The 15,002-nt window shown below is 44.7% G+C and overlaps 1 protein-coding gene and 1 pseudogene across 2 annotated transcripts, besides 1 other annotated feature; both read right to left on the bottom strand.

Annotated features, from left to right (window-relative positions):
• Positions 883-5,050, bottom strand: FOLR3 (folate receptor gamma). Of its 2 annotated transcripts, none has more exons than NR_178088.1 (5): positions 5,007-5,050; positions 4,655-4,828; positions 1,626-1,942; positions 1,293-1,428; positions 883-1,188 (listed from the first exon to the last, which is right to left on the bottom strand). NR_178088.1 is itself a non-coding variant. In NM_000804.4 (5 exons), exons 2-5 carry the CDS (start codon positions 4,820-4,822, stop codon positions 944-946), a joined length of 738 nt encoding a protein of 245 aa, NP_000795.2. In that variant the 5' UTR covers positions 4,823-4,828; positions 5,007-5,050; the 3' UTR covers positions 883-943. The 2 variants fall into 2 exon arrangements, 1 of the variants encoding a protein (NP_000795.2); NM_000804.4 differs by having other exon boundaries at positions 1,626-1,814.
• Positions 1,441-1,944: an enhancer, noted in NCBI's record as "H3K4me1 hESC enhancer chr11:71849877-71850378 (GRCh37/hg19 assembly coordinates)". NCBI's record gives its function as "activates a minimal SCP1, AML or CMV promoter by ChIP-STARR-seq in primed H9 embryonic stem cells {active_cell/tissue: H9 hESC(primed)}" and the evidence as "EXISTENCE:reporter gene assay evidence [ECO:0000049][PMID:30033119]".
• RPEP6 (ribulose-5-phosphate-3-epimerase pseudogene 6) lies at positions 8,866-9,493 on the bottom strand (annotated as a pseudogene).

The raw sequence follows: 15,002 nt of genomic DNA, 5'->3' as shown, positions 1-15,002 counted from the left end.
TAGTTGGGACTACAGGCACACACCACCATGCCCAGCTGATTTTTTAGTTTTTTGTAGAGTTGGGGTTTCACCATGTTGCCCAGGCTGATATTGAACTCCTGGGCTCAAGAGATTCTCCTGCCTCAGCCTCCCAAACTGCTGGGATCACAGACATGAGCCATCACACCCAGTGGAGAAAGAGGCACTCTCATACTTTGCTGGTGGGGGAGGCACATTGATACAACCCCCATAAAGTTGTAACTCTCAAAATTATATGTACTCTTGACCCAATAATCCTTTCTGGAATTTAAGTATAACATTCCACTAAGTAAAAGATTGTTAATTGCAACATTAGTTGTCATTTTTTTTTAAAAAGCAGGTCAGGTACAGTGACTCATGCCTATAATCCCAGCACTCTGGGAGGCCAAGGAGGGAGTATTGTCTGGGCACAGGAGTTCAAGACCAGCCTGGGCAATATATCAAGATTCCTGTCGCAAATAAATAAATAAATAAATAAATAAATAAATAAATAAATGGAAACAAGGCAAGTGTTCATCAAGACCCTCCTCCCCACCAATATCTCCACCCAGCCCACATCACTAAAGAAACTCTCTTCCCAACTTGAAGCCCAATAACTCATCGGCTATCTCTGCCCTTCTTCACTCCGTCTGTGTCTTTCTCCATGTGTAGTGCCGGTGGGATGAGCTTGGCATGAGGGGGAAGCCAGTGCAGGGGTAAGAGACCCAGACTAACGGATCAGATACCTGGATTCTAGCTCAACCCCCACACCCTCCTTCCCAGTGAACATTAGGCTAGTTCCAGCCCAATTTGGGGCCTGTCAATGGAAAAGATGAAGCAATGTGTCCCTCCAACCCACTCGTCCCGAAATTACAAGACACAAGACACATGTGGATTTGTCTATTAGAATAGGTTGTTGGAAGAACCCCAGAGGACCCTTCTTGGATCAGGAATCAATAATCCCACGAGACGGGGCCCCAGCATTCATGGCCGCAGCATAGAACTTGGCCACCTCCTCATTGGGGTTGCCCTGGGCTGAGTCAAACCACATCTGGATGCAGCGGCCGCTCCCTCGACTATAGTTGCTGACCTTGAAGGAGTGGCTCCAGAGGCCTTCACAAAGGGCGGCTGGAGTGGGGAAGTAGGACTCAAAGGTGCTGCAGAGGGCCCCGGCCGGACACTCATTAATCCCTGAGGGAGGAGAACGTAAGACCCTTAGCTTCTGGGCCAGACCGCACCCCTCCCAACCCCAAAGCCCCACTCCCACTCCTCATCTTATCTCCTCAGGTCCTCACCTGAGGTCCAATTCCAGCCTTTGTGCCAGTTGCTTTTGCAGGTGTAGGAGGTGCGACAGTCCTCCCACCAGCGCTCACAGTCCTCTTTGCACAGGGGCACGTTCAGAATGCGCTCTTTGCGCCAGCTCTGGTTGACCTGAGTGGGGAGGAGACAGAATACTCCTGTCAGCCACGTATCTCAGCAGCTTTACCCTTGAAGGGGACCAGAGCTGTGGGAGGGGGCAGGGCGTCCACCACCCTCAGACCCGAATTCCTGGACCAAGCCCTCCCTGCCAGCAACTGGCAGGCTCCGCCCTCTGCTGAGGTTAATGTTTGTGGGAACAGCACTCATACCTGCCGGATCCAGGGCCCCAGGTTGGGTGAGCACTCATAGAGACAGCTGTCCTGGATAAAGTGGCGCTTGCAGGTGGGTTCCATCTTACCACAGTGATCCCAGTTAAAGTTGTACAGGCGGGAGGTGTCCTTGTGCAGCTCCTGGCTGGTGCTGGCCGTGCAGCAGGCATTCTTCTTCCAGGGACTGCACTGGGTGGGGAAGACACAGGACTAAGTCTCTCCCCACCACAGCCATCTCCTCCATATTCTGGCTCCTCTGCCCCAGGTAGGTCATCCAGAGGAACACTTCCTGGGGAGGGCCCTTGAGGAGCTCCCACCTGGGGACGGAGGCAATTACAATATTGGTGCTTTCCGCCCTATTTATTCATTTATTTATTTGAGACAGGGTCTTGCTCTGTTGACCAGGCTGGAGCGCAGTGGTGTGATCATAGCTCACTGCAGCCTCAACATCCTGGGCTCAAATAATCCTCCCACCTCAGCCTCCCGAGGAGCTGGAATTCAGGCACATGCCACCATGCCTGGCTAATATAAAGTATTTTTGTAGAGATGGGGTCTCACTATGTTGCCTAGGCTGGTCTCAAACTCCTTGGCTCATGTCAGCTTCCCAAAATACTAAGATTAGAGGCGTGAGCCACCATGCCTGCTTAATTTTGGCTTTTAACAGAGGGTAATCCACGGGATATAGGAGATGAGGGAGAGCCACTGTCTGAGAGAGTAATTATTAGTAGTACAGCTCTTAACGGTTTAAAAAGTGATCTCATGTTATTAAACTAACTTTTTTTTGAGACAGAGTTTCGCTCCTGTTGCCCAGACTGGAGTGCAGTGGCGTGATCTTGGCTCACTGCAACCTCCACCTCCCGGGTTCAAGCAATTCTCCTGCCTCAGCCTCCCAAGTAGCTGGGATTACAGGCACGTGCCACCATGCCCAGCTAATTTTGTATTTTTAGTAGAGACGGGGGTTCACCATGTTTGCCAGGCTGGTCTCGAACTCCTGACCTCAGGTGATCCACCCTCCTTGGCCTCCCAAAGTGTTGGGATTACAGGCGTGAGTCACCGCGTTCGGCCTATTTCATGTTATTCAGCTTATTTATATTATTCATTTTGCATCCAGCCAATATTAACTGAGTGCTGATTATACATCAGGCACTGTGCTAGGTCCTAGGAACACCACAGTGAAGAAAACAAATAACACCTCTACCCTCAGGGAGGGTATGGTTTTAGTGGGTGGGTGGGCTGTGTGTAGAAGGGAGACAAAGAACACTCTAGGCATAGAAAACCATAGGTGCAAAGTCCCTGAGGCTTTTGCGCTTTATCCTCTCAACAACCCAGTACGAATCCTTACCCCCATTTTTACAGAGTTTAAGTAAGCTACACCCATGGTAAACAGTGAGGTTAAGATTTAAGGAGGCGGGCGGATCACCTGAGGTTAGAAGTTCGAGACCAGCCTGACCAACACAGAGAAACCCTGTCTCTACTAAAAATACCAAAAAATTAGCCAGGCACAGTGGTAGGCGCCTGTAATCCCAGCTACTCAGGAGGCAGAGGCAGGAGAATCACTTGAACCCAGGAGGCAGAGGTTGCAGTGAGCCAAGATCATGCCATTGCATTCCAGCCTGGGCAACAAGAGCGAAACTCTGCCTCAAATTAAAAAAAAAAAAAATTATAACTGAGGACAGGGAGGAGAGGAACCTGGCCCAGGTTGTGGGGGAGGGTGGAGGTCAAGGGGCTGGTCTGGCTCTCCCAGGGTCTGGAGGTCCAGGTGGGGAGACTCTAGATAGATCCTGAGAGTGGTGGAGAACGAAGGAGCTATAGCCTGCACGTGGGTCTGAACCTAGACTTGACTAAATGTGGAAAAGGCAATCCTAGAAAGGTAAATACAAGGCAGGTAAGACAAGCAGAAATGGTGGAGTTTTTTCTTGGGAAGTCACTCTAGGCCAGGACTCAGAAAACCTGAGAAATCATGAATCAATTGCATAAAATTTCTGGGCTGAACCCTTGCACCTAGGGTCAAGTGATGGCAGAGGCGTGACAGGCCTGAGCACCCAGGAGAAACAATAGGGAAATCCATGGGAGGGGAGCCAGACCTACCCACCTCCCACACCCTGGCCCACGCCCAGTGCCGGCTGACACAGAACATGCTTCCCTGCCAGCCCGACTTCACACTTGCTTTTCCTTGGATGTTCCAACTCTTGGTCTTCCTGCAAGACCCCTTGCACATCATGGGTCTTAGGGTTTGGCAGACATGGGTCCTGCCTGTCAGGGTCAAGGGTTGTTGCCTCCAAAAGAGTTACTGAGTACAATGAGAAGAACTCCCTTGCTATAGTAAGGGCTCAACAAATATCATCACTCTCATATAGCTCATGGCCCTGAGAATGATAGTCATCTGTCTCTCTCAAAGGTCTACATCCACACCATTTCCTGGCAAGGAGGATGTGCTCTAGAAGGTTCTGAAAAGCAAATGAAGTGGTGGGCACAGAGTTTCCATTTCAGTTTTGGAGAATGAAAGAGGTCAGGAGATGGATGGTGGTGATGGTTGCACAACCACATGAGCATACCTAATGCCACTGAACCGTACAGTTAAAAATGGCTAAAGTGGAAAATGTATGTTATGTATTTGTTTTTTTTTTTTAACCCCGATTTAAAAATAAGCAAATGGAATGTTGGGAGTGACTCAGATGTCATGGGGCTTCCAGGCTGTCCTGTCTTCGCTTTAACCCACAGATTGTGTCCACGCCACAGTCTCTCCCTAGGCACATCCCCAGCCCTCTGGGAATGTGAAACCTTGTAGGGAGCAGGCCAGGAGACCAGAGGAATGAAATACAAGCACACTCCTGAGCCTGGAGTTCAAATTGGAGCTCATATTCCCCAAGCTGCCTCAGTGGCCTTACCTGTGGCATGGTGGCCCTGGCCGCCCCTCCCCTTCCTTGTCAGCAGCGGCACCCTTGGTTCTGACCACACTGGACCTGCCATTGCTCGTGCCATCACCCTCTGACCTGTGTGCATGCTGTCCTACACCAGGCTGCCCTCACCTGGCCATACAGCTCGTCCTCGGGGCTGGGCTGTGTCTTGTGGTGCTTGGCGTTCATGCAGACATTGAGCAGGTCCGTCCTGGCCCGCGCACTCCTGGGCTGGGCACTCCCCGCAGCAGTCACCAAAGCCAGAAGCAGCAGCTGCATCATCTGCCAGGCCATGTCCATCTATTCCTGCCAGAGAGCCACAGTCAGAGGTAGACAAGGCCTGAGACAGGGGCAACAGCCATGTGATTGTGTACTCTCTCCCTCCCAGGCCCAGATCTCTGCTGTCCCCACCCTGCATCCCCTACAGGGCAGCTGAGCCAAGAAATGCGCTGCGTGTAGAGGTGAGAGGGAGCCCTTCCCCTACCTGGAGGCAGGACCTCCACCAACAGCGCTGTAGGTCCAGGCTCTGACACCAGCTTGCTCTGTGACCTTGTAGGGAGCCACCGCCCTTGTGGACTTCCCCTCTTGGATTTCTCCAGTGTTTTATGCAATTCTTTTCAAATTTGCACAAGGAGGAACCACAGGTGGTGGCCTGCTGATGCAGGAGTGAGACTCTAGACAGCCTCAGGCTTCTGCTTCCTCAGCCTGTCCTCCTACCCCATGGCAGCTGAGGTTTAGATGCCCAGGGAAGCTGAGATGGGGACAGCAAGGGCCATGGAGCTGTCAGCTATTGTTCATGGTCCCGGAGCAGATGCTGCGGGAGGCAAGGAGGTGGGGGCAATCACACCTCACCCTTCACCCCTTCTGGGTCTTGGGAAATTACCTAGGCAGAGGCAGGCTCAGAGGTTGGGGGAGGCCAACAGGTCAGCGGCAAACGGAGGAGGGGGCTGAGCGAGAACAGTGGGCGCTATCTCGCCTCCCACCTCTCATCCCCACTTTTCCCTCTGTCCTGTTGCAGGGCCTTACCTCCATTCTCAGCCCACCTGGGAAGGTGGAGTCTCTCCCACCTCCCCACCTACTTTATAACCCCATCCTGCCTGCTTGGTTAGACCCTCTGTTCGGGAAGGTGCACAAGGCTTTGTCTAGGAGACAGCTCAATTGTCTTTCAATAAGGACCCAGTTAAATTATGGTACATCTACCCAGTGGAATTTAATGTGGTAACAAAGAAAGAGAAAGCTCCTGATGTACAAATATGGAAAAATCTTCAAGTGCATTGTTAAGTGGAAAAAGAAAGGTGCAGAAAAATGCTATGTAAAAAATAATAATAATAAATTCTCTGTAAAAAAGGAGTAAGAATGTCTGTGTTGACTGGGCGTGGTGGCTCACGCCTGTAATCCCAGCACTGTGGGAGGCCGAGGCAGGCGGATCACTTGAGGTCAGGAGTTCGACATCAGCCTGGTCAATATGATAAAACCCCATCTGTACTAAAAATACAAAAATTAGCTGGGTGTGGTGGCACATGCCTGTAATCCCAGCTACTCAGGAGGCTGAGACAGGAGAATCACTTGAACCCGGGAGGAGTTTGCAGTGAGCCAAGATCACGCCACTGCACTCCAGCCTGGATAACAGAACGTGACTCTGTCATTAAAAAAGAAAAGAATATCTGTGTTTGCAGGTGAAAATTCTGTGGCAAGGTATGAAAAGAAATTAATAACATGGTCACCTGGCAGTAGAGAACAGGATTAGGCTTGAGACTTTTCTCTGTAAACCTTTCCACATTGTTTTGATTTTTGGACCATGTGACTATAAATCTTATTTAAATACATATAGGTATGTGTGTATACATACATAAATATACCAAATATGAAGTGAAAATACTAAGACACAGAATGACCTCTCTGACTTGATAATATGTATGTAAATTTTGATAACACTAGAATGTATACAACAGTACCTTTAAGTTAAGGATACTACACATGTGCTTGCAAAAGTATGAACATGAAGCCACCAAGAGTTCTGGTCCCTGGACATACATCCAGTAAATTCGATGCAGTTACACCATATATATCCCATTTCTGTGCACAAATGGTAGCATACTGTTCTGTACTTTGCTTTTTTGGGTAGTTTCACTATAAATTTATTCTTTTGACAAAAAAACAAAAACCTCATGAACTCAAGTTATCCACAGTTGCACACTTGAGTATTACTGTACATCTGATAACATAACTAAAATTATTTCTTTATGCCTCGTAGGGTCTAAACTTAAAACTATTTCATTAGCCGATATAAAAAAGTTAGTGGGCTGGGTGTGGTGGCTTACACCTGTAATCCCAGCGTTTTGGGAGGTTGAGGTGGATGGATCACTTGATCCCAGGAGTTTGAGACCACTTGGGCAACATAGGAAAACTTCATCTGCACACAAAAATAGAAAAATTAGCCACGTATGGTGGTGCGAGCTTGTAGTTTCAGCCATTTGGGAGGGTGAGCTGGGAGGATTGCTTGAGCCCTGGAGGTCGAGGCTGCAGTGAGCTGTGATGGCACCACTGTACTGTCAGAGTGAGACCCTGTCTCAGCAAAAAAAGAAGAAGGAAAAGGAGAAGGAGAAGAAGAAGAAAGAAGAAGAAGAAGAAGAAGAGGAAGAAGAAGAAGAAGAAGAAGAAGAAGAAGAAGAAGAAGAAGAAGAAGGAGAAGAAGAAGAAGAAGAAATAAGGAAACAAAGAAAGTTAGGAAAGAGAACTTCATGTTTTCAAGTTAAAAGTGCCTAATGCTTGGTTTGTATTTCTCCAACACTCTTGGAGGCAGTAGAACTGCTACTAACCTGGGAAGACGACCGGCACTGCCCCTGTGTATTGCTTATGTAGTGTGAAGTGATGTTTTCCCATTATGATGTTGGGAACATTTCCAATACTGTCATCATTTACTCAGCTAGTAGAGAGCCTCTCCTGAGGCAGAGCCTGTGTTTTCAGTCTGACCTCAGTATCTGGTCCTGCTACAGGTGAGTCTGAGGTGACAAGACCAGTGTCTAGTTATGAAGCCCTTGCCTCCCCAGGGCTCCATTATGGATGAGTCCTGCACCATAGTCAGCAGCCCTCTGCCCTCCCTCCATTGCACCCACCTATGACTCTTCTCTTCTTTTCAATGCCCTCCCCCAACAACCTCTGCCTGTGACTTTGAATGTGTTGTGGGGGTCTTTGCAGAAGAATCGCCCACCTGAGTTTTGGCCAAATTCCTGACTCACAACATCTTGGAATATAATAAAATAGTTACTATTTCAAGCAACTATGTGTATTTGATTTTTAAACTTTTTGTTTTGAAATAATTTTAGATTTGCAGAAAAACTGCAAAACATCGTCAAAAGATTTCCCGTATGTTTTTATGCAACTTCCCCAAATATTGGCATCTTATGTAACCAAAGCCCAGTTCTTAAAAAAATCAGGAAATTAATATTGAGGCAATACTGTTAACTAATCTACAAGCTTTATGCCCTTTACACCAGTTTCCCCCCCAATGTCCTTTCTCTGGCCCAGGATTCAGTCCATGATTCCAGGTTGCATGTAGTTGTCATGTCCCCTTAGTCTCCCTCCAATCTGTGACAGTTCCTCAATGTCTTTGTCTTTTATGACCTTGACACTTTTGGAGAATTACTGTTCAGTTATTTTGCAGAATGTCCCTCAATTTGGGTTTGTCTATATTTTCCTGTAATTAGCTTGAGCTTATGCATTTTGGCAAGAAAATTAGAGAAGAGAGGTGCTTTTGTCAGTGCATCATATCAAGAGGTACATGATGAGGGTTGCTGCATCTTATTGCTGGTGATTATTGGGTTAAGGAGATTTCCTTACTATATAATTATTAGTTTCCCTTTGTTAGTAATCCTACCTTGTAGGGAGACACTCTGAGACTATGTGAATATCCTTTTCATCCACTTAGTTTAACATTGTCTGCAGCAATACACCACAAAATTATGGAATGATTTGTTATGCAGCAACAGACAACTAGTAAACCCATGAGAGTTAGTATTGTGTTTCTTAAACTCTGAGGAAACAATTTGGCTTATAACCTTAGTTTAGCCACACAGCAGTTACTCTTTCTACAACAAAATTCCCAGGAAAAACAGAGTACTTATCATATTAATCTTTAAATTAAATCACTTATAAAAGTGAGTAGTTATAATAGTCAAACTTACTTTACCCTCTGTGAACATTCTGCATGATGGATTTGAGACAGTGGACTGAATAATTGCTCAGGAAATCAGCACTACCTCAGTTACTTTCTGATGGGTCCTCATAGTACAATAAACAGGAGATTTCATAGACAGAAATACGGGCTCTTCAAGGCTTCTTCAATCATGAGAATGTTTCTGAGAAGCTTCTGAGCAAATACTTCTATGGAAGCTGATCACAGATCTGAGGTCTTTGCACTTCATAATTATTCTGTCAATCACAGTCATATTAATTCCTCCTCTGCACATGTATCAATAGCATTACGCCCACAGGGTCCAAAAAGAAAGAGGTATGTCCTCAACCAACGAATTTCTGATATTACAGGCTTCATAAAATTCATGCCCTCCAATCCCAGGCTCCACTATCGTGGCCAAGGCCAGGTCTGGCTGAGTTGCCAATGGTGCTAAAGACTCTACTAAAGATTCAGGTGAATGCCAAGGCCAGCCTTCATCCAAGTGACCAGAATATCTTTAATGAATGTCTGGTTTTCAGTAGCCTCTAGATAAAAGGCACACTGATTTGCTACACCTACAACTATAGCCGTTGCCTTTTTGCTCGTTGTTTTGACCTGAAACTTAATCATGGGCGTGGCCTCTCTTTAAGGCTTTCTATCTCAGGTACCAAAGATGATGGCAAGAACAAAGTGTCTGTCCACTACATCAAAGATCAGATGGTTATCCGAGTCCAGCATCTAGGTGCACTGAGCCCCAGGGAGTCCAGGCAACTGTTGAGGGTAGATGGGCCAATCTTTATTTTACCTTATTTTTTATTTTTAGGAGACAGGGTCTCACTCTGTCACCCCAGCTGGAGTGCAGTGGCACCATCATGGCTCACTGCAGCCTCAACCTCCCTGAGTATCTGGGACTACAGGCACGCACCACCACGCCCAGCTAATTTTTGTATTTTTGTAGAGAGGAGGTTTCGCCATGTTGCCCAGGCTGGTCTTCAACTCTTGGGCTCAAACAATCCTCCAACCTAGGCCTCCCAAAATACTGGGACTACAGGGGTGAGCCACCACGCCCGGCCAAGATGGGCCAATCATGAGTCTTGCCCAAATTCTTGGGCAAAATCTCACAAAATCTTGAAGTATAATTAAACTCACAAAATCTTGAAGTATAAGTAAATAAGTATTGTGTTTTTGTTTTGTTTTGTTTTGAGACAGAGTCTTGCTCTGTCCCCCAGGCTGGAGTGCAGTGGTGTGATCTCAGCTCACTGCAGCCTCTGCCTTCCGGTTCCAGTGATTCTCCTGCCTCATCCTCCCAGGTAGCTGGGATTATAGGCACATGCCACTATGCCAGGCTAATTTCTGTAGTTTCAGTAGAGGTGGGGATTCACCATGTTGGCCAGGCTGGTCTCGAACTCCCGACCTCAGGTTATCGGCCCACTTCAGCCTCCCAAATTGCTAGGATTACAGGCATGAGCCACTGCGCCCAGCCTAATTGGTATTGTTTTAAGACATCAAGTTTATTTGATTTTCTTAACTTAGTGTTTTGAGATAATTTTAGACTTAACAGAAAAATTGCAAAAGTAGTAAAGAGGTTTCCCATATGCTTTCATCCAGTTTCCCCAAATGTTGGCATCTGACAAAACCAAAGCCCAATTACTTAAAAAATCAGGAAATTAACATTAAGGGAATACTTTTAACTAATCTACAAACTTTATTCTTTTTCATCAGTATCCCCACCAATGTTCTTTCTCTGGATGCCATGGCACCAGTCCTCAGGAAGAAGAATAACCCCTAATTCCCTTGCATTTTGATTTCTTTTCTTTTTTCTTTTTCTTTTTGACAGGGTCTCTCTCTGTCACCCAGGCTGGAGTGCAGTGGCATAATCATAGGTCATAGCAGCCTTGACGTCTTGGGCTCAAGTGATCCTCCCACCTCAGCCTCCCAAAGTGCTAGAATTACAGGCATGAGCCACTGTGCCCAGCTCACTTTGCTTGCTTTACTTAACAGAATGTACTATAGATGGTCCCTTATCTGTGTACATAGATCTATATGATTCTATTTCATTATTCTATTGAATTTAAGTGGCTTCTCATATTTCACTGTTATAGTCAATGCTGTAGGGAATGTCCTTGTATAGCCGTCCACCTTTGTATATAATAACATATCTAGTGGAGGGGGAATGTAAAATGGTCCAGATGCTGTGAAAAAAAATTAAACATAGAATTACCATATGATCCAGCAATTCCTCTTGTGCGCACACACCCAAAAGAATTGAAAGCAGGGATGCAAACAGCTATCTGTGCAGTCATATTCACAGCAGCATTAATTCACGATAGCTAAAAGTTGAAAGCAACCCAAGTGTCCACGGATGGATAAATGGATAAACAAAATGTTGTTTCTACAACTGGTCACAGTGAAAGAGTTTTAAGCAGGGGAATGTCACAGTTCAATTGGCAGTCTTGGTGTGTTCAGATGGGATTACGTGTAGGCTGGAATTGGGCAAGGTAGACCAGTTAGAAAGCTGTTTCACAAGTCCAGGCCTGGGATGATGGTGCCTTGACCAGGAGGGTAGAAGTGGGGATTCATTCAAAAACTAAGCTCAGAATTAGTTATTGGGCATCTACCATGTGCTAGGCTGTTCTGGGTTCTAGAGCTACAGAAGTGACCAAGAAAAAGTCCCTACTGTCATAGAGCTGACATTCTAGTTTGGGGGTGGGAGGTTGTTAGAGAGAGACGACAGAAAACAAATAAAGATGATGATTGTGCTCTGAAGAAAACTGAAGCAGGCTAAGGGGACAGAGAGTGATGAAGCAGGGGCTACTATCTTCTACAGGAAAGATCTAGGAGGTGATGCTTGGGCTGATACCATAATGAGGTAAGAAGGGAGTCATGTGAACATGGAGGAAGGAGTGCTCCAGACAGAGGGACCCGTAGGTCCAAAGGCCCTGAAGCAAAAATGTACTCAGTGCATTTCAGGAACAAACAGCGAGGAGGAGGCCAGTGTGGCCAGCAGTGAGCTGGGAGCGGCAGGTGTGGGGTCCAGGCCAGATCTTCAGGGCCCCGTGGTTCAGACTCAGCAAAGATGGGGGATTTTACTCTGAATGAAATGGAAACTTTATTTGCTTTTTCCAGTTCAGCATCTGATCTGACTCTAGGGACAAGGGAAAGCAAACAATTGACACAGATGTCTATGTGAATGGCCCAGCCTTAAGGCAACCATGACTTGAACCAGGGCTATGTGGTGGCAGTGGACGTGGTGAAAAGGGAGGAGTAATGTCATGTCTTTTGAAGGATGTTTTGATAGGATTTGCTGAGATGGAGGACATGAGAGAAAGGGAGGAATTAGGATGACTCCAGAGTGTGTTGGTCTGAGCAATTAGAGAGGAGTGCTTGGCTATTTACTGAGATGAGGAAGGCTGAGAGTGGAATAAGGATGGAGTGAGAAGGGGAAAGAATTGTGAACATGTGGACAGAAGGGTAAAAGTTTTCTGCCAGTCGGGCCTCTGGCCTCTCTCTCCCTGTGCAAAATGTTGAAAGAAATGGTAAAGTTCAAAAGCCAGAAATATTCGTGGCTTGGCATGGCTAAAGTTGGGTACTAAGGGATTTAAAAGGGTTATCTTAAAGAGTGCTCAGCTTAATTAAAAGTGGATATCCAAGCTATAGGTATATTTAAAAGGCCTTTGTGTTTTTTTCTTCATGGATCTTGTTTCTCTGCAAAACAATTTTTTCTCAGTCAACTGAATTATTTTTCCCCAATTTGTCTTGTCACTCTTAACGCATGCATGAGAGGCCCTAAGATAACTTCTGAGAGCATAAGACACCTTGGGAAAAACAGAGAAGTCACCACGGATCCCATTTTGGAAAAAAAAAAAAAAACTCTGTTTTTCTTATAGAACCCCAGGAATTAAAAGCAGATAGACCCCTTTCAAAATCTGTTTTTGTCTTCCAGCTATGCCTGTTTATTAGGCCCTGGAAACTGCATGCTTTCCTAGCTCTGCTTCTTGAAATGCTCCACCCTGAGGCCAATAATCCAATTAGGAGATTGGCAAATGAAAAATCTTACAACTACTGAATCTTCTGTCTGTGTAATCACATATGTGTTATTTGTGTGTGATGTTTATATAAAAAAAGAGCTCTAATTTGCTTAAAGAAAATAAGTGCTTAGATCAAATATTTTTTGAAGGAAAAACAAAAGCTGTATTGCCTTTTAGTTCATGTGACTTTAATCTTTGAGAAAGAAAAACAATTTTGAAGATAATTGGTAAAATACAAATGTTATCAAAATGAAAATATGTGGTCTAATGTATGCAGGTCAGATACTAGGTTTGCTAAATGTTGTAAGGTTATAAACTGCTTCTTTGGCTTTTGAGAACTGTTTGACTTGCCAGCTTTACAATTTGGTAAGGTCTGGGGTCATATGGATTAACCACACCATTAACTATGTTGTAAAGAGTCAGACTTTATCTGTGCCTAGTACATAATTAAAAAAACTTACCAGGTTTTACATTAAAATTAAAAATTGCTAAGAGTTACCATTACAACATGTAATTGAGACTACTGAAAATGGATTTACATGCAAGGGTGAAATTTGACTTTCTCTCGAAGAAGATTTTCATGTAATAATAAAGGATAATGAAAGGTTTTTGCCTTGTTTTAAAATTTTTGAGTCATCATTTTGGCTAAAATAAATAACTTATGGTGATCTGGAGTTCTATTTCAAAATAATAAGTGTTTTAAATCTTTAATGTGTTTGATAGACTTCCCAAATTCAAACTTCAGGTTCAAGGTTGTCTTTTCTAACCCCTAACTTTTGGATGCTACTGAAGGCCCCTGGAGCATCCAAAAGAGAGGTAAACAGGATTATTTAACACATTTAGTTACATGGGATTGCCAAAATAAAAATAATGTATGACTTTCTTCAGGGTATATTTTAGTGAATAATATTAATATATGTTCCAAAATTGTATGGGATTTATTTGAGAAAGAGTCTTGCGCTGTTACCAGGCTAGAGTGCAGTGGCACAATCTTGGCTCACTGCAACCTCTGCCTCCAGGGTTCAAGCGATTCTCCTCCCTCAGCCTCCCGAGTAGCTGGGACTACAGGCATGTGCCACCATGCCCAGCTAATTTTTGTACTTTAGTAGAGACAGGGTTTCACTATGTTGGCCAGGATGGTCTAGATCTCTTGACCTCATGATCCACCCACCTCGGCCTCCCAAAGTGCTGGGATTACAGGCATGAGCCATGGTGCCCGGCCTAATTGTATGGGCCTTCTAAAACTCAAATGTCTGAGTATATGCTATCAGTAATAATTAAGGTTATTGTGTTAAGTTATTGTAAACCACAGAGAAAAAACAAATTTCTTTGTCAATTGTGTTTTTGACTGTGACTACCCAAGGATATTTTGTCATTCACAGACAATTGTTGTCTTGTTTTGACCCTTTTCAAAAGATGATTTGTGGACAGCTATTGGACTTTGAAAGGTGCCCTCAAATGCAGGTTTCTGATGACTTTGGAGATTGTGACATTGGAACAGAGGAAAAACATACAGGAGTCATAAAGAGCTGAAATTCTCCTGAATATCAAGCAGAACAAGAGTTAACTGAATAAACTGAACTAATAGAAAACTGAAGTAATCCTTTTTAACTTTTTGCTTAAAACATTGCTGATCCTTGTTTTGTTTTTTCCAGAGTCAAGGAAACTTCTTTTGAGCTATCTACAGCTTTTAACAATTGAGTAAGGTATACTCCTGTGAAGAAAATTTGGAGCATATTTCTCTCTGCCTGGTTTCTCTAGAATTTGGAAACTATTTGCAAATATTCTTAACTTATGGCAATATAGTTATTTGCATCAGTGCAATAAGAATCTATTTTCTTTTGCAGCAGGATATAACTGGAGAAACCGGTTATTTTACCAAGGTTTTGACTGGAATGGTATGCTTTCCTTTAGGGAATCAAGCTTGACTTGCAGAGCCAATAAAATCCCCTTGGGAAAACTGGCCTCATACCTTGTCTACACAGTCCCTGGACAGGGTTCCTAACCTGTGGTGAGTAGAGAATGTCATTTTCTAACAGGCCCAAGAGCCCTGTGTTATCTGGGACCTCAAGAAAAGAAGAATTTACCCAACTCATAGGTATTTGAGGGTACAAACCCATGGCTGAGCTCAGCTTTAAAAGGTCCTACCTGAGATTCCTTGTGAAACAGAGTTCCATCAAAGCCAATTTTAAAAGCCTATGTGAAAATGATTATTCTTGCTGCACTTTATGCAAATGACCAGGCCAAGTATAAGACTAAAGTTTATTTTGCAAACAAC

The sequence above is a fragment of the Homo sapiens genome, chromosome 11 (assembly GCF_000001405.40).
Source record: "Homo sapiens chromosome 11, GRCh38.p14 Primary Assembly".
NCBI lineage: Eukaryota > Metazoa > Chordata > Mammalia > Primates > Hominidae > Homo > Homo sapiens.
The sequence above is the reverse complement of the archived record's forward strand: the minus strand, read 5'-3'. Positions and strand labels throughout refer to the sequence as shown.

Coding starts and splice junctions, on each gene's coding strand:
- FOLR3 (NM_000804.4), bottom strand. CDS start 4,822: ATGGACATGGCCTGGCAGATGATGCAGCTGCTGCTTCTGGCTTTGGTG. Junction 1,815..4,654: donor AGGACGAGCTGTATGGCCAG/GTGAGGGCAGCC, acceptor TTCCCCACCCAG/TGCAGTCCCTGGAAGAAGAA. Junction 1,189..1,292: donor AGGCTGGAATTGGACCTCAG/GTGAGGACCTGA, acceptor CTCCTCCCTCAG/GGATTAATGAGTGTCCGGCC.